Raw genomic sequence first — 22,272 nt, 5'->3', positions numbered from 1 at the left:
TATGTGTTCCAGTTCCACAATGTAATTCATTATTATTATGTACTTGTTTCACATAAACATTAATTTCTAGGTCCTGAAAAATAAAGTCAGCACTCAGAACTTCACTTTTTTTTTTTTTTTTCTGCAGCGCATGATACCAACAGCACAACTTTGAAAACTGTTAAGTATTTTGAACTGGAAATAGTAACACGTGCCTTCTTGCTACTCTAAACTGTCTCCAACACATTGTTTCTGAGCTCCACAAATGCAAAAGATGTATTTTCCTGTGGCCCATGACATTTGCAGTTATTCCCAGTGAGAAATATTTTCAGTATTCGTAACACTGTATATGATGAAAGGCTTCTATTTGGAGGAAGAAAAATTAAGAAGACAACTTACAAAATCAAGATGACAACTTATAAAGGCATCATTGAGGATGATTAAGGAGAATAGCCTCCTTTCTAGCATACCAACCTCGATACTCTTATTTTATTCCACAACTCACTATGCATATCTTATTTAAATGTTTTTTTCCTTTTGGTCCTTTCTACTTATCTATTTTGTGAATTCTAAAGTTACATTTGTAAGATTACATAATCTATTAAGCAATAAGTTTATGTTAGTAGAGCTGTTTTCAACCCAAAAATAAGAAAAAATAGCTCTAAATATCTAAAAGGAAAAGGTTATTTTATGAAATTTTAAATTAGAAAAATTTGGTAAAATATATGCAACTATAAAATATCAGAGAAATAACAATTTCTACTGCTTACACTGGTTTTTATCCTCTGGACAACATAAAAAACAAAATATGGGAGTCTTTCAGGCTTTTTTCACAAACACAGAATTTGGAAGCCTTATAGAAAAGCTTATTTTGGTTACTTAAAGAAAAGTAGTTTATATACAATTATTTTTTGAAAATTCACTTGAAACTTGTCCATATGAGTATCTTTATTCCTTTATTAACTTAGGGCAGATATAAAATAAAGGATAATATATGACAAATTCTCACTTACCAAGAATGGTTGGTTGCTATTTAGGGTAGGCTAACAGCTGTGACAGTACACTCCAAAATGTATAATTACGTAAACACATATTCAATTCTTGCTAACATAGCAGTACTTTGCTGTGAGCAGGTCAGCAGGAACCCTTTTCTGCAGTCACTCAGGGACCCAGACTTACAGAGTGGGTAGGATGCATCTGATCCAGAGTTAGGGAGAGGCACGTACAGGCCAGGCCTAGAAATGATGCATATCATTCCCGTTTGCATCGCTAAGTAAGCAACTTAAGTTGCTTTAACAAACTAACTCCAAATCTCAGTTTCCTGATAAAGATACATTTTTCATTTACATCACTGTGCAATGTGACTAAGGGTAGGGGTATAAGTCTGTTCCATGCAGTCACTCAGGGACCCAGTCTCCTTTTGTCTGGTGACTCTGTTGATCCAGGCAGTCTTTCTCTGCCAATTCAGGATGAGATGTTTAGGTAAGTATTTTATTTGTGAAATGATTGCTATACATACTCATTTTTAAATAATTCAAAATCAGTAGCAATGCAAAAATATTCTGATTACTTTAGCCTTATGGATATTATGCTTTGAAGTCATGAGTGGGAGTTGCCTTAAATGTTAAAATGAAAACTTTGTGGTTTTAACAGCTAATTCTTTTGCTTTCTGTAAATGTCTACTAAAGAATCTAGACTTTTCTCTATGGTCTACAGTGTTGTCCTAGATGAACATTGTTGCCTTTCTTTCACAGAGCCTTCAGAGGGAAACATTCCCATCCATTGTTCCTGGAAAGGTGATCCCTACCACGGGATCCCAAACTTGGATAGAGCCAGTTCAACCTCCCCCAATCCATACACATACATACCTAGGTCATCCTATCACCCAAAAGAGGGACAAACATCTGACTTGGACAGCTGACCAGTGACTGATCAGATTCTCTCTCTCTTGAGAGCATGAATTAAGAGACATGGAGACTGCAGTCACTTGGGAGTAGACACCTGAAACTAAAAAGTCAAACTTCATTATGCAGCTAGTTTGACTTGGTTTCTCTTCCTGTTCAAAGGAAGAATGGGTAGAATAAAGATTTGATGTGGTCTGGCCCCTTGTCTATGATCTTTTTAGCTTGATTTCTTGAAATGCTGCTTCTTCCCTACCCACTGTAACTGGCATTCCCATAGTACTGAGGTACTAGAGACCTCTGAGATCTGCACACATGGTTCCCTCCACCCAGAAAACTGCCCTTTTCTTTCTCTCATCCTACATAGCTGCCTGGCAAATCCCTAGTCTTCATCAGCTCACATCACATTTCCATGACAATCCCCTTTGATTCCTCAGAATCTGGCCTTCCTTTATAGCACTGGTCATATTGTATTGTGCATATCTGGTTATTTGCCTGTTTTCCATGAACATTTCAAGCTTATGGGGGAGAAGACACTGTATACATTTTCATCTGCATTCCTTAGAATCTGCATAACAGCTGGTATAGAGAAGGTACTCAAAAAATCCTTAATGAATAAAGTAATGGATCGTACCCAAACATGTATTTTAATGATCTCTTGATATTATTATCATGACATAAGTCAGACTTGGAGGATAGAGAATTTGACTGCTAAACAAACCAGTTGATTCCATACCAATCAGTTAGTACAAAATCAAGGTAGAAGGAGGCAATTTCACGTGGTGCTTAAGATCTCAAGTACTAAAGTCAGGTAGGCTCTGGTTTGCATTCCAGCTCAGCTGCTTACTAAGTATGCTACATAACCTTTCTAAGCCATGTTTTCCTTTTCTGTAAATGGGATTGCTAAACCATTCCATGATCTGTAGAGTTATGAGAATGAATGGAACAATACGTGCGTAACAGCATAGTTCCTGGCGCGTAGAAAGACAACTTAATACTATGACTTATTATTAAGAGCTCTCAATTCCATAGTCCTTTTGTCCAGTTGGTGCTAGGCCCATTAACATACCATCAATAGAATTTCCCACACCCATAAAATCTGGTTGCAGGAGAGGACTTGTTTGAACCACTTAGAAGTTCCAGCCTGAGATTAGCCTAGCCTGGTTAATCTCTTCAGTGGCCCACAAAAATGATAACTATATTTGGTAACTTTTATCTCTAGTAACTGGCAAAAATTTGGCAATACTTCCTAAGTTACTCAGCACAGGCATTCAAAAAGAAAGATAAGCTTAAATCAGTAATGATGCCAGAGAGTCACTGAGGAGAAAGGTCTGCAAGGTTGTGTCCAACAAAGCCTCATGGGTGATATTTATTAGTGAATTAATGTGGCCCAGGACCTGACCTGAGGGCCCATGCGTCACTGTTCTCAGGAACTCAGAGTCAGATGCACATGAATTAAAGTCTATGTGAGCCTGAGTTATTGCCTGGACATCGATTTTTAAATTAAGAAATACCTCTCAGCTAAATAAATCCCCATAATCAGTGCATTCTGTCCCAGTTGTCAAACTATGTGGGAAGATAAATCATAATCAAAAGGTACTTTGGGCCAGGTGCGGTGGCTCACGCCTGTAATCCCAGACTTTGGGAGGCTGAGGTGGGTGGATCACTTGAGGTCAGGAGTTCGAGACCAGCCTGGCCAACGTGGTGAAACACTGTTTCACTGTACTAAAAATACAAAACTTAGCTGGGTATGGTGGCATGCATCTATAGTCCCAGCTACTCAGGAGGCTGAGGCAGGAGAATTGCTTGAACTTGGGAGGCAAAGGTTGCAGTGAACCAAGATGGCGCCACTGCACTCCAGCCTGGGTGACAGAGGGAGACTCTATCTTGAACAAACAAACAAACAAACAAAAAACACCCAACAGGTACTTTGGCTAAAACAGAGTCAAGAGAAAAAAAATTTATTTTATCAAAAGCCTGTCAGCTGACATAGCTCTCTCATTGTCATTCAACCCATATTGACTATCTGCCATGTGCCAAGAACTGTTCTAGTTGCTGGGCATATAATAGTGAACAAAACAGCTATGTTGGGAAGACAGAAATAATCACACAAATATAATGCATTTATAATTAGAAATTGAAATTAGTGTTTTGGAAGAAAAAAAACAGGATGCTATGCAAGAGAATACCAAGGGAATCCTAAATCAGATTTTGTAGGATCTGACATTTTAAATGAGACTGAAGAATTAGTGGAAGTTGGAAAAAGTTGAGAAGAAGAAAAGGGTTGCAGAGGGGAAAGAACTCCAAGCAGAGAGAGAAGAATGTGTGAAGGATCTGGGGCAGGAAACCCTTGACGGATAGGCAAGGCATCCATGGGGCTGGGGTGAACTTAGAAAAGGGCAGAAAGGTGCAAGCTGAAGATGAGGAGGAAATCAGGCACCACTGATGCGTTTTAAGCAGAGAGGTGGCACGAGGCAATCAGTATTTGTAAATTATCATTCGCTACGTGGACTGAAGTGGAAGATCAGATGAGCATGGGGAGATTAGTTAGTGGACTAGTTGGTAAAGAAGATAGTGGCACAGATCAAGGTTGTAGCAGTGCAGACAAAGAGTAGCTGTTGGCTTCAAGAAATATTTAAGAGGTAAAAATATAACTTGGTGATGGATTGAACGGGGGAAGAGGGAGGTTTCAAAATTTACAACCAAATTCTGATTTGAGCAGCCAGGCAGTGGGGAGGCGGGGGCGGGGCCGCCATTTTCTGAACTGGGGAAACCTAGGGCAGGAGCAGTTTAAGAGAAGATATGGTGAAGAGATCAAGAATATGATTTTAAACATGTTAGGCTTATGAAAATTGTGGCATCTAGTTGGAAATTTAGATCAAGAGATGGAAAGATAGATTGAAAGAGTGAGAGATTTGGATCAAAGGAGATGTGGGGTAGACCTTTATGTTTGGAGATTCATCAGTGTGAATGAGATCACCTTGGGACAAAGTGAGAAGGCAATGAATAAGCTCTCAGCAACTGCCATTTAGAGGTAAGGTGGGAGAGAAGGAGTCAGTAAATGAAAGGCCAAAACAATGAAAGTTTAGTGTCCAGAGAGGTCAAAAGAAAACCAGGAAGCCAAGAAAATTCAAGAAAGGAGCACCTTTTCCCTAAAGTAGATCCTTGACAATGGGAATGACATTCTCAACACCCTGGCCAAGACTTTCTCCTGACTCTGAGTAGGACACAGGTCAACATCTACACTGGCACCTGGCCTCTGTTGCATTGTTTGTAGTCTAAACTCTTCCATTGAATCCTTTTCTCTTTCTAGATATGTTAATGCCATTAATACCAGCCACAACATTAGCATTGGACCCACTATGCTTATTAACACAGTCCACAGTAATACAGTTTGAATACCAAATTGAAGGAAACTTTTCAAAAGGTCAAGGAAATTTTTCGGCAGTTAAGGAAGCCAATGCTGGTGAACATCATATGTAACTCTCAAGAGAACAACCTAATTTCGCTCCTTTCCAAGTTCTTAGTAAACCTCAGGTGATTTATTCGTAAACACTGGTTACTCCAAGTAAGAGACAAACACAGATCGGGGGAAGAAAAGAGCAAAATAATTTTTCTGGAGGATTAGTTTCTTTCTGCTGAAATGTGCTATGGTTTAAAAAATCAGCAGGTCTGACTGACAGCAAGTTATGTAACTTTTGGAAAATCACTTAGTGAGCCTCAGCCTTATTTTCCTTATCTGTAATACAAAGAAACAGAACCAGATTTTGTCCAACCCTCCTTCCAGTCCTAATGGTCTATAACTATAAAACTCTAAGACTATTTCAAGTTACTGCAAACAAGAGTTTGGTCTCCAAACTGATCGGAATGCAGGAAAGCGCTGGCGGATACAGAACCAATGATTTGCACCAACACATATCAACCCAAGAACATCATTTGACAAGCTAGAAAGAATGATAAGTAAAACAAAAATTGTCACTAATTTTTCAATCTTTTCAAATGAAAGCTTCCTTAACAACAGTCCTTTGAGGTTTTCAACCACAGAGTGTTCGTCTTCTAAGGACTTTAAATACATGGTCTCTCTAGGAAGCCAGTGCTATTATTTATAAAGAGAGAGAGAGAGAGAAGGAGAAGAAAAGAAGACAGAGAAAGAGAGGGAAAGAGAGAGAGAGGAGAGAGAGAGAGAGAGGACAGGAGAGAGAGGAGAGAGGGAGAAGGATGGGAGAAGAAAAGTAAAAAAAAAGGAATGACATGTGTTCTTTTATCTAGAATGAGAGTTTCCAATGATAGAAGAACATTCTATGCTCTTAGGACAATGTCTGAGGCCACCAACAAAAAAAAAACTATGTGTTCATAATTTTAAAAATTGTGGAGCGAAGCCAAAGGGAATAGCATTTTTTTGTCTTTCTACATAATGTGCTTGATGAAAAAGAACTGAAGTTAGCAACAGAGTAAGTGAATACCAATTATACCTGCAAACTGAAAGATAGTGTTTCACAGGACTGGTGTAAAAAGGCCATGCACATACTAATTTTTAAAACTGCACACGCAGATATAGCCTTTAGATGTAGATTTTTTATTCTAAACGAGGTGCCTATATAGGAAACAAGAATAGATGGGTAGTATATTTTTTTGTTAAAACTGCTTTACCTTAGGCACTCAAGTCAGTGATGTCTGTGAAGCAAGAACATAAACTTATCTAAATGATATTGCTGATGTGAAAAACATCTGTGGAATTCTTTTGGAATACAAAATATCCATCCCATTCCTGAACTTCTGCTACCAAGTTCTCCTTTCCTGAGACAACTAATGTTATCAATTTTTAATGTAACTTTTCTATAAATATTGTATAAAAACAAATGCATATATATACACACATACATAATAATTACATACACACATATGTATATTCCTCTCACTTTTTAAAATTTAAATGAGAACATGCAATAACATTTGCCTTTTTCAGTTAGTAATGCTGTAAAGCTCATTTTTTTATTAATACATATTCTTCATTCCTTTTTGTGGATACATGGTGTTGAACTGTGTAGGCGTATATAATAAACTTCACCAGTACCCTATTGATGGACATCTAAATTGTTTTCATATTTCCTATTAAAAGCAATGTTGCAGTGAATGAGCTTGAAAATTGCACTTGTTGATTGTATTAGGAACTATTTTTTACTTTGCTGTTTTTGCCTGTGTGTGATTAGGTAATGTATATACCTGACCTAAAATGTATAATTTACTCAAAGGTAAGTAGGAAGAAGACATCTTTCTCGTGTCCCTTTCACATAAGCAACCACTATGACCAACTTCTTATTGTTCTAAATGTATACATTCTATTCATATAAGTATCCATAGTATGAAAATAATTATACATATATCTATAGAAGAATTACACCTATTTGACAGATACTTGGTTTTCTTCTGTCACAGCCTACAGAGATCAGAAGACTTGTCATAAAAGGCATCATGTATGAATGTAAGCCTTTATGTTAGGAATAGCTTTTTTATTATTTCACTCTTTATCAACCACACACCATCAATATTGTGGATCTCATTAAGAAAGCAATGCTTTCATTGATTTTTAATGCCTATGTTTTTATTCTGGATGGAAGAGGGGCTATGGATATGGGACACTCCCTTCCCTGTCCTTGGCCTCACTGTGTTGAATTTTCCAATTTGGATTCATTGGTAAATTCATTGGTTTAATCTGGATAAATGCTTTAAAACAAATTCCCTGGCTTTTTTGCAGAATTATTGAGATGACAGGCAGCTGGCACCCACTTAGTAAGATGATGTTCAGTACTAACTAGTAAGAATGCTTTATAGCCAGGTGTGGTGGCTCACACCTGTAACCCCAGCACTTTGGGAGGCCGAGGCAGGTGGATCATCTGAGGTCAGGAGTTCAAGACCAGCCTGGCCAACATGGTGAAAACCCTGTCTCTACTAAAAACACACAAAAAATTAGCTGGGTGTGGTGGCAGGCACCTGTAATCCCAGCTACTTGGGAGGCTGAGGCAGGAGAATCACTTGAACCCAGGAGGCGGAGGTTGCAGTGAGCCAAGACCATGCCATTGCACTCCAGCCTGGACAACAAGAATGAAACTCAGTCTCAAAAAAAAACAAAAGAAAAAGAAAAAAGAATGCTTTATAGGTATAGATGATATAAACAGTGAGATAGACGAGTTAGGCTGCAAATTTTAACATTGCAACCATGTGAGTCCTGCTTTCATTATCCCAGTGGTGAGGTCTGCATTGGGTTTGCTGCTTCCTATGTTTTGTGTTTTTCTCTTTCTTGATTGTATTTTTCCAGTGCTGAGAGTCTACTTGTTTATTAACTCTAGATTGCAGGCTGCATGCAGAGAGACCCTCCCTTCACACACAATAAAATCTCCACTATGCAGTTACGTCTCTCCATGCAAACTGTACACTTCTCGCCTGAGTCCTTCTCTTCCATATGATCTTGCTAAAGGTACTTAGGAGCAGTCGTTCTAACCCACCACAATATTCTGAGTTTTTCCAATCAGTCTCCCAGGAAGGGGTAGAAAGGCATGTGGCTTCCCTTCTGTGACAGTGCATGTGACAATTTTACCAAATGGTTTGCCATGGAATAACAAGGTCAACAGCTTTACAGCCTGCCTAACAATCTTTCCCATCACTTAGATGTCACTTTATTCAATGACTATCATGAAGAATCAAATTATGATCCTTTCTAAGATGTGGAAATTCTATCAAGTCTTATCTTTCATAGGATTCTGTGCCAAACATTCAATGTAGCTATTGTATTACCTAAGTAGACATCTGTATTAGTTCGTTTTCACACTGCCATAAAGATACTACCCAAGATTGGCTAATTTATAAAGTGAAGAGGTTTAATTGACTCACAGTTCCACATGGCTGGGGAGGCCTCAGGAAACTTACAATCATGGTGGAAGGGAAAGCAGGAACATCTTACATGGTGGCAGGTGAGAGAGCGTGTGTAGGAAACAAAAGGGGAAGAGCCCCTTATAAAACCATGAGATCTCACGAGAACTCACTATCATGAGAACAGGATAACAGCATGGGGGAAAGCATTCCCATGATTTAATCACCTCCCTCCCGTCAGTCTCTCCCTCAACACCTGGAGATTACAATTCAAGATGAGATTTGGGTGGGGACACAAAGCCTAACCATATCAACAACATAACCACAGTTTGCTATCGTGTGCTCAGGGCCACTATTCACCACTAGAGTTAATCAAGACAAAGTTAACTGTCCAATTCAAGTTTCTTTCAAGCAAGCAAAACAAAAAACAGAAGGACCCAGCAGCTGTCTACTTTCCTTTCTATCCCCTGACTTTTCTGAGGCCAATACTGAGGACAAACCTTAATCTTGTGCAATTCCCACCCTTGAGCTGTGCTGTTTTGGACTAACGTAGGTTTCTTTTATCTTTATTGGCTTTGAGAATGCAGTTCATTTTTTTTTTCTGAATAAGCTCGATGGCTCAACACAGCCAGCAGGCTTAGGCTTTAGGCCCAGAGCACCCTGGAGGCCACATGTGGTTTAATCTGGACAAATGCTTTAAAACAAATTCCCTGGCTTTTTTTCAGAATTATTGAGATGACAGGCAGCTGCCACCCACTTAGTAAGATGATGTCCAGCACTAACTAGCAAGAATGCTTTATAGGTATAGATGGTATAAACAGTGGGATGGATGAGTTAGGCTGCAAATTTTAACATTATCTTAGAATTTGGATCACCACCTCACTGTACCATTAAATTGCTGTAATTCTTTTGTAATGTACCCAAAACGTTATTAAAGATAGCTTTGGCACACCCTTTATGGAATAAAATGCAGTTGTAAATCCTGAAAGTCTGTTTTTTCTAAGAATATTTTATAACATAAAAATAAAATAATGTGCCAAGATTCTAAATCTTCAAAATTTCTAGTTATTTCGGTATTAACCAAGCAAGCTGATGACAACTGACCATTATATTTTTTATAAAGTGAGAAAAAAAGTTTTCAAAAAGCAAAAATATAAGCCAAATGCCTTAATCAGAATAATCCACTTTGTAAAATCTGCATTGTTATATTGTCATTTAGTCTTATGTTCCCAGCATTATCTCATAAGATGTATTTAAATAGTATCTGGCATTGATTCTTCATAAGACGTCTACTTTCTTTAAGAACTGTTGTGTTTTTCATGTAAATACAATTAAAGTATAGTGAGTGAATTTTCAGACTGGTATTTTATTATTCCCGACTGATATTTTATTATTACAATCCCCTTAATACACATATTGGGGCTAATTTTCTTACAATAGATTTTTAAACTATATAGAAATTGTTAGATTTTTTTTTAAAAATCACATCAGAATTCAAGCGTTCTAGACAATTTATTCAAATGTTTAAAAGAAAACAAATTCTAAAATTATTAAATTTACTAATATTTTTCTGAGGATCTTATGGTGTTTGATTTCTGCCCCATTCTCATCTCATTGAACTTCTGCTCTCCTATAATATGTTCTAATATCATACTGTGCTTATTCAATTTTTTTTACATGTCTGTATATCATTAAACCTAAAATGTCATGGTAAAAGATTACAGCCTGTAATCCTAGCACCTTGGGAGGCCGAGGTGGGTGGATCACCTGAGGTCAGGAGTTTGAGTCCAGCCTGGCGAAAATGGTGAAACTCTGTCTCTACTAAAAATACAAAAATTAGCCGGGCGTGGTGGCGAACGCCTGTAATCCCAGCTACTCAGGGGGCTGAGGCAGGAGAATCACATGAACCCAGGGAGCGGAGGTTGCAGTGAGCTGAGATCATGCCACTTCACTCCAGCCTGGGCGAAAGAGGGAGACTCTGTCTCAAAAGAAAAAAATGAGTTATCATTATCTTAAATCAAAGGAAAAAAAAACCTCTAACAATTAATTGTCATAATGTTTCCTTCTCTCTTCGAATTTTATACTTGCTGAAACAGCCCTTTTCAACTTAAGATACAATTTTTTTCATGTATTCTTATAATTTTTTTCATGTATTCTCATAAAAAGATTAAGGATAAGGTACAGTGGTACAGTAGTCCTCCTGTATCTGTGGTTTCAGTTTCTGCAGTTTTAGTTACCTGTGGTCAACATGGTTAGAAAATATTAAATGGAAAATTCCAGAAATAGCAATCCATATGTTTTAAACTGCATGCTGTTTTGAGTACTGTGATGAAATCTTGCACCGTCCTGCTCCATCCCACCTGGACCTGAATTGTCCCTTTGTTCAGCAGATCCACACTGTCTACACTCCCTGCCCATCTAGTAGCACTTAGCGGTCTCACTTAGTCGACGAGGCTGTCAGATTGACTGTTATGGTATCACAGTGCTTGGGTTCAACTCTCAATTCACCCTCATTTTACTTCATAATGTCTCCAAAGTGCAGGAGTAGTGCTGCTGGCAAGTCGGATATGCCAAAGCAAAGCCATAAAGTGCTTCCTTTAAGTGAAATGGTGAAAGTTATGGACTTAATAAGGAAAGAAAAAGAAATTGTATGCAGAGGTTGCTAAGATCTATGCTAAGAATGAATGTTCTATCTGTGAAATTGTGAACACCTTGTTGTTTTAATTGTTCTATTTTATTATTAGTGGCTGCTCATTTCTTATGTGCCTAATTTATAATTTAAAGCTTAATTTAGATATGTACAGAAAAAAATATGTAGTATATAAAGGGTTGAGTACTATCTGCAGTTTCAGGCATTCACTGGGGGTCTTAGAATGTATTCCCTGCTGATAAGGGGGACTGCTGTAATCCTAAAATATCCTTATATTCATAGCTGGACTTATCTTGATCACTTTCCTCTCACAATTGTCAGTGTCCATATTTTACCATATTTTCTGCACTGTCAGGAATGTTGCAACTTTTCACACAAGAGGACTCCAGCATTGTCTCTGGGATTTTATTCCAAGCTACCAACTCCTCATCTGCATTTTGATATTGGTCTTTCCTCCTAAGACAATCACTTCCTTCAACTAATATCAAATTCTGCCACTCTGCTCAGTTTTGGCATCTTTCTGTACACATAAAAATGTTTCCTTTCCCAGGACAAATAGTAGTGCAATTATTATTATTATTATTTATTTTTTTTTTTTTGAGACAGAGTCTTGCTCTCTCACCCAGACTGGAGTGCAGTGGCAGGGTCTTGGCTCACCACAACCTCCACCTTCCGGGTTCAAATGATTCTCCTGCCTCAGCCTCCCAAGTAGCTGGGATTACAGGCACCCGCCACCACACCTGGCTAATTTTTGTATTTTTAGTAGAGATGGTGTTTCACCATGTTGGCCAGGCTGGTCTCAAACTCCTGACCTCAGGTGATCCGCCTGCCTCAACCTCCCAAAGTGCTGGGATTACAGGCGCGAGCCACCACTCCCGGCCTAGTGTAATCTTTTGTAAAGCTTTTTTTTTTTTTAAGATAGAGTCTTGCTCTGTCACCCAGGCTGGAGTGCAATGGCGCCATCTTGGCTCACTGCAACCTCCACCTCCTGGGTTTAAGTGATTCTCATGCCTCAGCCTCCTGAGTAGCTGGGATTACAGGTGCCCGCTACCACGCCCAGCTAATTTTTTGTATTTTTAGTAGAGACAGGGTTTCACCATGTTGGCCAGGCTGGTCTTGAACTCGTGACCTCAGGTGATCCGCCCGCCTAGGCCTCCCAAAGTACTGAGATTACAGGTGTGAGCCACTGCACCTGGCCAAGACATTTTAAATGTCAGTTAAACCTAACATGCACAGAGCCAACAATAGACAAAACTCAGTTGAAATGACAATAACCAAGTTTGTTCCTCTGTGCATGATGTTGCATACATCACAACTGCCCCCTGGTTGATAGTGACTGTGAAACACCATTGATTTTAGAGATGTTCAAACATGAAAACAGCACATTGTAAGATAAATGGAATATGCTCTTCCACCAAAACATCCCACTGTTTCCTAGATGTTACCTTTTTTAAAATCTGGCTCAAATCCAGCTTATTGTGCAAGCCTTCATAATTAAAACCCCACTTGACACTTGGTATTGCTTACAGAACTCTATGTATCCACTACACAGTGGTATGTCACATTTGTTCCCTTCTTCACAATAAATACTTATGAGCCAGGCTATAAGAATCCTCTTTGATATTGCTTGGGAGGGCTTTCCAGAGAGGAGCTGGGATGATGCCCTCCTAGGAAGTCAGAGCTGAATTAAAAAGCAATGGGTGACCAGGTGCTGTGGTTCACACCTGTAATCACAACACTTTGGGAAGCCTAGATGGAAGGATTGCTTAAGCCCAGGAGTTCAAGACCAGCCTGTGTAACATAGTGGCAACCTGTCTCTACAAAAAATAATTTTAAAAAAATTAGCCAAGTGTAATGGCTTGCACCTGTAGTCCCATCTATTCAGGTGGCTGAGGTGAGAGAATTGCTTGAGCCCAGGGTTTGAGGCTGCAGTGAGCTATGATTGTGCCACTGCACTTTAGCCTTGGTGACAAAGCAAGACCCTGTCTCAAAAAAAAAAAAGCAGTGAGTGTCAAAGTGCCCTCTTTGATGGTTTGTTTAGTAAACACGTAGTTTGGCTGTTGGATGTGCAAACTATTTTTTTGAGACAGAGCCTCACTCTGTCACCCAAGCTGGAGTGCAGTGGCATGTTCTCAGCTCACTGCAGCCTCTGCCTCCTGGGTTCAAGTGATTCTTCTGCCTCAGCCTCCTGAGTAGCTGAGATTACAGGTGGGTGCCACCATGCCTGGCTAATTTTTGTATTTCTAGTAGAGATGGGGTTTCACCGTGTTGGCCAGGCTGGTCTCAAACTCCTGACCTCAGGGGATCCTCCTGCCTAAGCCTCCCAAAGTGCTGGGATTACGGGCGTGAGCCATCGTGCCCGGCCCCAAACTATTTTTTTTTTTTTTATTAATAGAGACAGGATCTCATGCTGTCACCCAGGCTGGAGTGCAGTGGCACAAATATGGTTCACTGCAGCCTTGAACTCCTGGGCTCAAGTGATCCTCCTGCCGCAGCCTCCCAAGTAGCTGGAACTACAGGTGTACACTACCACACCTAGCTAATTTTTAATTTTTTTTTTTTAGAGACAGGTTCTTGCTATGTTGCCCAGGCTAGTCTCCAACTCCTGGCCTCAAGTGATCTTCCTGCCTCTGCCTCCCAAAGTGCTGAGATTACAGGTGTGGGTCACCACACCCTTCCTGGATATGCAAATATCTTAAAGGAAGGATTCTGTCTACAGTTCCTCTCTATCTATCATCTGCCTATTTAAAAGAGTGTGTAAATATGCAGTCAGTTGGATTTGACTCCCAACCAATGCTTAATTTGTGTAGCTTAGACATTTGTGTGGAAATTTATGACAGTGATTACCCTTCCATTTAATGGGGAAAAAAAATTGTTCCTATGGTAACTGTTTCAGAAGAGTGCATACTTACCATACTTCTAAAATATGCAGCCCATCCTATGGGAGTACAGATCATCTTGAAAGGATTTTCCCTCCTTCAATAAACATTGATTTTTCCTCCTCTTCACGTGATTTCAGAATAAAATAAAACTTTGTAAGAATTGCTAAAGAAGAGCTTCAGGAAATGAGAACCATGAATGGGGCTGGCCCCTTGCAGCTCTCATGGGGGAGCAACAACACTGTCCTCAAGTGGTTTCTGGAAACACAAGCTGGTCCCTTCATAGCTGTATTTCTCCCAGACTCTTTTTCTTTTCCGTGTATCATCATGTTTGCTGTGTTTGGGATGTTGCTATGCAAAAGGATATAAAAGAGTGGGTTTTTTCTAAGGCAATCAAGCTTAGCAGATGCAAGTTCAAGATGATGCAAAAGTTTCTTAGAAAAGTTTTAGACTTCCTTAGGGAATGTTATAAGAAATATTCATGATAAGAGAGGATAAATATTGATGAAGGCCTAAAATGTCGTTCCACGTGATAAAATTCATCAGCTACAGGGGCTTTGTAACTATGGACAGCACTTAAGTAGCCGTTTTGAAACTGCTCTTATTTGTATTTTTGCAAACAAAGGGCACCCTCCAACTTTTTTCTTCAAATTCACTGCTCTCTGTGAATTTTTTCCTTTAAAAACTATATCTTACAATCTTATTAAAGCAGAGAAATAAGTACACCAAACTACAGCTTGTAGTATTTGTTAGAAAAGTCAGCATCATGGTCTCCTTTTTCATTTTTTCCATGTTATATGATTTTTTCTTCAGAGCTCACTTATAAAAACAGACCTATTGATTCTGTAGTTCTGTGATGGACATACAGAAAAAGAGTTATGAAACGTTCATAATATCTTAAGTACGTAACACTCATCCTGAGCAAACATGACTTACAGACTCTAAAATTGTGAGTCTTCACAGCCAAAGGAGTAGCATGGGCTTACTTAAGGACTGAAAACATTCATCTTGCTACTTATAAAGTAGTCAAATGTGGCCGGGCGCGGTGGCTCATTCCTGTAATCCCAGCACTTCGACAGGCCGCGGCGGGTGGATCACTTGAGGTCAGGAGTTCCAGACCAGCCTGACCAACATGGTGAAACCTTGTCTTTACTAAAAATACAAGACTTAGCCGGGCATAGTGGCACATACTTGTAATCCCAGCTACTCTGGAGGCTGAGACAGAAGAATCACTTGAACCCGGGAGGCAGAGGTTGCAGTGAGCAGAGGTCACACCAGTGGACTCCAGCCTGGGTGACAGAGCGAGACTCCGTCTCAAGAAAACAACAACAACAACAAAGAAGTCAAATGCAATAGTTGGGAAAATAGAGGCGGAGTGAGTGATCATATGTGATTCGACTTCTGTCTCTCCAAAGGTAGCAAGCTCTGTGTACAACAGAGCCTTGAGTAACATACAGAATACCTAGGTGAAATTATGGGTTTTCGAACAATTGGTCTGCTTTTTTCAACTCACTACAGTGTCTGAAATCCCACCATCAAATCTTTTCAGGCAGTACTGAATTCACTTATCCAAATACGCTAAGGATAGAAAGGCCGCAGCTGAAGGAGTCAGAGGCATACAAAGGAGGAGAAGAGGCAGTGTAGGGGCTGAGAAAAGTCGTGGGTGTGCAGCGGTACTGTGCAAGGCAGGTCTAAGTACGGCACCACTGGAAGGATCTTAGACAACGAAGGATGCTGTCTAACACCCAAGGAGGATGTTAGCTCCTGGATGAGCAAGGGGATGTTGGCACCTGTGAGGTAGAGATGGGTTGAAGATTGGTAGATTCCTATTTTTTAAGGCTGCCTTGTTGGCTAGGCAAGACATTGAATTTGTGCCTTCTTAGGCTTCACGGGCAGGAGCACCTCACAATGGGTAGGCTTACGCTTCGTCTTCCTTGTGCATCAGCCCTGGAGAAGGACTGATGTCAGAGACAAAGGAAAAAGGCAACAGAGAGAGAGTTCTTTCCTCTGGGCCTGGGAAAACCTTGCTCCCTATATTAGAATCAAAAGTAAGAAGGAATGATAGCCCAAGCTCTTACTTGCAGATAGGTTTTCAAAAATCTATCAGGTAATGACATTTCCCACTAATATTTTGCACTCTTTGCAGCATCCCAGTGATGATGTAACTGGTGGCCAGGACTACCAGCAGCCTGTACACACACACACACACACACACACACACACACACACACATCATACACATATATACACACACATCATACATACACACACATCATACACATACACACATATACACACACATCATACACACGTATACACATACATCATACACACATACACACACAAAATACACACACATCATATACATCATACGCACACATCATACAGACATACACACATCATATACATGCACATATACACACATCATACACACATCATACGCACATACATATACACACATCGTGCATATACATACATCATACATACACACATCATACACACATATCACACACGTATACACACATCATACACACATATGGACACATCATACACACACATCATACACACATGTACACACACACGCACATAGGAGTCATTACTATCCAATCAAGGTCATCAAAGGCATAAAGGAGGGTCAGGATTACAGCGAGACTGATGAAAAGTCTCTTGTAAAATTTGTTTGAGGACCTAAACATTGAATTAAGCAAAGAGTAACACAATGAGAACTATAAAGCTTCACTGAAAGAAAGAGAAGAGCTAAAATTCCCCATCCTTCCCCCACTACCTCCATGGTGAGCATTCAGCTCATTTGGGGGTTTATTCTCAGTTGTAAGAGCCAAAGCCTTTCATCATTTCTGGGCAGAACATCCATTAAAGGCAGACCAGGTGGTACCAGCTGCACCTGATGAAAGAAATCACACGGTTTCACTATGTAGAGTAATGACAGAAGAACGGGCAGTCTGGACCAGCTGGATCTGTCTCTGCCACTCTTCAGTGCATGCACGCACACACATGCACACACATGTACATGCACACACACACGCACACACACATACACACATACCAGAAAAAGAAGACTCAGGAGCTCTGAATTCGTGGAGCCCAGAAATTGAACCTGGTACCCATGGAATCTGGAATCTTTCTGGCCTGTTATGATGTGCAAAGCAGCAGACCTTGTTCATAACTGGCAGTAAATCTGCTTATTTAGTTAGGTAAAAAAAAAAATAAATTGTTATGACTTTTCAAAGCCATGAATAGCCAATAAAGTGAAAAACAGACACTACCACATTTTCTTCTCTGTTGTAGTAACAATAGCAAACATATATAGTTCTTACTAGGGTCTGCGTTATTCTAAGTGCTTAATCTAAATTAACTCAGTCCTCATAATAGCCTTATGATGTAGATATGATTATCATCCTCTTTTACTGATAGGGAAATTGAAGCATGGAGAGGTTAGGTAATTGTCCAAGATCTCACCATCAATAATTCATAATAGAGGTGTTGATGGGTGAGAGTGTGGATGCCCATAAATAAAGGAATATACTCAGATGCCTAAAAAGGTACAGGAAGTACTCTTCACTAAGATTTCACTTAATCTCCAGCATCCTTCTTGTACCATATTCCATCCGTTTTAATCCTTACACATGTGGAGTGACACATTCTAACAGAGTGTGATTCCATTAAGAGAATAATGAAAACGGTGTTGGGGCACCAGGCTTGCAGCCCAGGCTGCTCAGTTAATGCTGGAAATTGTCTCAGAGAAAAGGTGTTTCTGATGTCCAAAAAAAGGCCCACAGCACTGGGAGAAAGGACTGAAGAAAGCAAGAGGGTGTTGTGGTCTCAGCAAAAGTTGGTGCTGCTTTCAAAGTTAATGAGAAGGTTGCATGTACAACACATTGGGGTCTCTCCTTTATTAGCCACTTTATTATTAGGGCCTTTCTTTGCACACATTTCATTTTTTCTTCTTTAAATATAAAGGTGGCATTGATGCCAAAATGGCAAATTGTGTAAGTGACATATTTGATTTTCTGTTTTCTGGATGCAGCAGAGAGGTTCCAGTTTCTACTCTCCTTGCACTGTGCTTCACACTTATTCTTCAGGAGGGAGGTGATGAATCTGGATGTGTTCTTGGCAAAGTATTCTTAAGGGCATCCTCTATTGAGTCAATATCCAAATACTATTGCAGGCAAAGCCAAATATAACTTATTTTCTCTGCCAGTTATATCTCTTATTCTGAAATTTTAATGTTCATACTTCAGAAATCATTTAACTAAAGAATCAGGTCAACCTCCCAAGTTACACAACCTCTACTAAATGCAAGAAACAAGACCAGGTTTCAGGTGGTTGTGTGGCTGTGGAATTCGTTTCATTATTTTGTATTTGATGTATTCTCATATAAAATCTTTAAATGCAGCAAGTTTATAGGCCCACGACTTGCTGATTTCTGTAGCTTATTAGTGAACAAGGAAAGAGATTCAACCAGTGTTGTTCCAGAAGAAAAATCAAGAGGAAAGTATACACTTTTCAATAACTAGAGCTGCTCAAAAATGAAATGCAGGGCCCTGCAAAGGACTGAGTATCCATCCATAGAGGAATCCTCGCCAATATTCCTTCCACTCAACCCAAAGGCATTTCTGATTATATTTCACAGAGAACTTAATTTTCCATATTCATAGACATCTAAGCACTTGGAAATTTGAAGAAATCATTTCAAGTAGTAAGAAATTGACAGAGATAATTTGATGAAGCATGTAAGCTTTTTCTGAAAACTCTGCAGAGGTTTGCATAATCTCTCTTTAGGGCTGGGGCTCAGAATCAGGGCTGGGCAAGTCAATGAGGGCTGTGGCCTCTGGAGGCCAGTGGACCAGACACAAGTGGAGAGGAAAGAAGGAAAAGGAGGAAACGCGGAAGAATAAAGTGGGTGGCGGTGATAGTGATACTAAGATAATCATCACAACAGTCACATCAATCAATTGCAGTTGTTCTCATTTTTCACACAAAGGAAGTGAACCTTAGGGTTGTGAGTCCCAAGATCACACAGTAAGTGACAGAGGCAGGACATGGTAGATTTCAGGGTTGGGATTCCTGATTCCAGGTTTTCCCACAATAGCAGGACAATGGCTTGTTCATCTTAGACTGGATGGTTCTAATTTTTTTTTTTTTTTTTGAGATAGGATTTCGCTCTGTCGTCCAGGCTGGAGTGCAGTGACACAATCATGGCTCACTGTAGCCTCAACCTCCTAGTCAAGTGATCCTCCCACCAAAGCCTCCTGAGTTACTGGAACTGCAGGTGTGCACCACCATGACCAGCTAAGATATTGATTTTTAGTAGAGAAGGGGTTCCTCCATATTGCCCAGGCTGGTCTTGAACTCCTAGGCTCAAACCATCTGCCCACCTGGGACTTCAAAAGTGCTAGGATTACAGGCGTGAGCCACGCTGCTCAGCCTGGACAGTTTTATGTCAAAGGCAGGTCTAAGAAGGGAAGCTCACTTCTGGATCCTGCTGTAAGCCTCATGAATTTAAAATATCATTACTGTGGATAGTCATAAGTACATTGCTTAGTCTCCCAAGAGTCATTTTCCTTTATATGAAATGGAAGTAATATCAATGAATCTTGGACGTCTATTAATATTATAAACTGCAAATTCCAATTTTGAAAGACTAAGAGAAAATGGAAATGATTGATTTTATATTAAAAAGAAAGTGCAGGTCTCTAATTTTGGCTTTGCATTTTGACCTGAGCTTCATTTAACTTATGTTTCTCTATGTTTGAAACAATTTATATTTTCTTTGTGTTTATGTTTTTTATTCCAGGAAGCATGAAAGAAAGAACCCACACACACAAACTTTTCTCTCGTTATTCCCATATTCATGAGAGCTACAGACCTACTGTCTACGGGTCTATCAGCTATGAGCCTAACATTTTCATTTACCTCCTAAAAACAGAGTAGGAAACAGCTGAGGTCAGTATAAAGGCTGTTACTCTAGGGCAGTGATGTTAAAGAATAGCAGGGGATGAGTTTGGGCTATCACCCTCTACCCCCAGCCACCATGGACATTTGGCACTTTCTGAAGACATTGTTGATGGTTACAATTGGGGGTGCTACTGGGTTCTAAGGAGCAAAAGAAGCCAGGAATGTTGTTAAACAGTTTACAATACACAGGACAGTTTCACACAAAGAATCATGGAGCTCCAAGTGTCTATATTGCTAATATTGGGAAACCCTGATCTTTATAAAACCAGGTAAAATTCATGGCGTTTTACAAACCTGGGTACTTCTGTTGGCAAAATCTTCTAAGCTCCCAAACCTAGAGAATGACAGCATGACAGAGCTGTCCACAGCTTTTCACAATGGATAGAGAAGCCTTTCCTGCATGCTCCATTAATCTTCAGACGTTCCTAGAATGTGCTGTGTGAAATGGGGAATGTTTCTTAGATCATTATTTCTACCGTTTTTATTTTTCTCTAGGAAAAAGCAAACGGGCTTTTGGGAATTTTTGGTTGCCTGATGTTTTACATCATTTTTCATGGTTTGCTTTTAATGTCAAAATTTTTCTTTTTATTTGTCTTTTGCAAGAAGAAAAAGAAAATATGGAAAGAGATTTGGAAAAAACTTTTAGAACATGTGTAATGTCTCTAAGAATAAGAAAAATCATCAGAACTGTACGTTCCAGGTTTCCCAAACCAACTGAAAGAGGTTCCTGAATAATAACAACCTCAATAACCATTCTTCATATTTGCCATTTTAAAAAGTCTGCTACTTTTAAAAATCAACCCAGTTGATTAGGCAATTGGTCTGAACCTGAGAACTACGCCTAAAGCAAGAGCTCAGAAACACAGACTAGTTTTAAAACTTAGAAAATAAATGTCGAAAAAGAATACAGAAAGGTCACAGGTAACACTGCACACAGAAAAACAGAATACAAAAGGTAATATGACTTGACTAACACGGTGAAAGGTAATGAGTACAGAGTCCAGGTATGACTTTCACAATTGCTAAGGCATTCTGTCTATATCGCTTAAGCTTTGGCAAAATACCCAGACCCACAGAAAAGTCTGAGTCACCCATCTCTCATCCCTTTATTCTCTGGAAAAGGTGACCTAGGTGTCAGCTGTACTCTGTGGCTGATTGTAATGAACATGCTGAGAAATCTGAGAATGGAAAGCCAGTGACATCAATCTTGGAATTAGAAAGAAATTATTATTTCTGGGTTCAGCATCTGGCCTTACCATGCAAACTAGATTTTTCTAGTCTCCTATTCTTTGAATTGCCTTAATTTAAAGTGTGTTGAAAAGTTCTCACCTGTGTGTGTGACTTTTAGGGTTGTTTGCTTTGTGTGTTTGATATGAACTGAAGAGAATCTGAAAGTTCTTTCTCAAGCCAAGAGACAAATTGAGATAATGACAATGTTGGCCTGAGCTTTAGGTTCAGAAGGATCATGATCATTTTGCTGAGCTAAGACGCAGAAGAGAATCTAAGGTAAAGTGAGTTCTAAGGCAAGAAAACCACTGACCACAGTAACCGAATGGCATATACAATGGCTATGGAAAGAGAAAACTGCTTCAAACCAAGTGCCAAATTCAATGCCCACTTCTGCATTGAGGGACAATCTTTCAACATGTATGTTACACTTCTTCTAATCCTTTTTACAGACACTTAGAAAAATGTTTAAATGATTTTTAAAATTCGATCCATTTACATTTGTTCCTTAGAAATAAACTATAAATATTGAGATTTAGTGATGTAGTTATGTTTGCTATAGAGCTTATTTTAAGTATATTCATTGATTTTGAAGTTAATGTGTGTTGTTGTCCTTTATATTCCAAACATTAAGGGCATCAAATCAGACTAATATTTTCTTCCTAATGTAAGATAAAAATAGTAAAGCAATAATTTAAAAAATGGGGCTCTTAATTCAGAACCCATCACTATTTATACTAACTAGACAGAGATATTCTTGTAATTTACTTTTGTTTTACATACTCACATATAA

General features: G+C 39.3%; 2 protein-coding genes across 6 annotated transcripts in view; one reads left to right on the top strand and one right to left on the bottom strand.

Moving 5' to 3' along the window:
- ENKUR (enkurin, TRPC channel interacting protein) overlaps positions 1 to 2,519 on the top strand; it is an 80,343-nt gene extending 77,824 nt beyond the window's left edge. For 3 of the 4 annotated variants that reach the window (NR_072993.2, NM_001270383.2, NM_145010.4), the window contains one exon: positions 128 to 2,519. Coding sequence is in view for 2 of the 4 variants with exons in the window: in NM_001270383.2 (NP_001257312.1) it covers positions 128 to 134 (7 nt within the window). In the remaining 2 variants the exon portion in view is untranslated. The remainder of the gene's footprint in view (positions 1 to 127) is intronic. The other variant, NR_072992.2, reaches the window with a different exon arrangement.
- THNSL1 (threonine synthase like 1) overlaps positions 1 to 22,272 on the bottom strand; it is a 74,301-nt gene that overhangs the window by 42,161 nt on the left and 9,868 nt on the right. The window lies entirely within an intron of this gene.

The sequence above is a fragment of the Homo sapiens genome, chromosome 10, assembly GCF_000001405.40.
Source record: "Homo sapiens chromosome 10, GRCh38.p14 Primary Assembly".
Lineage (NCBI taxonomy): Eukaryota > Metazoa > Chordata > Mammalia > Primates > Hominidae > Homo > Homo sapiens.
Note: the sequence above shows the minus strand (reverse complement) of the source record. Positions and strands in the feature narration are given on the sequence as shown.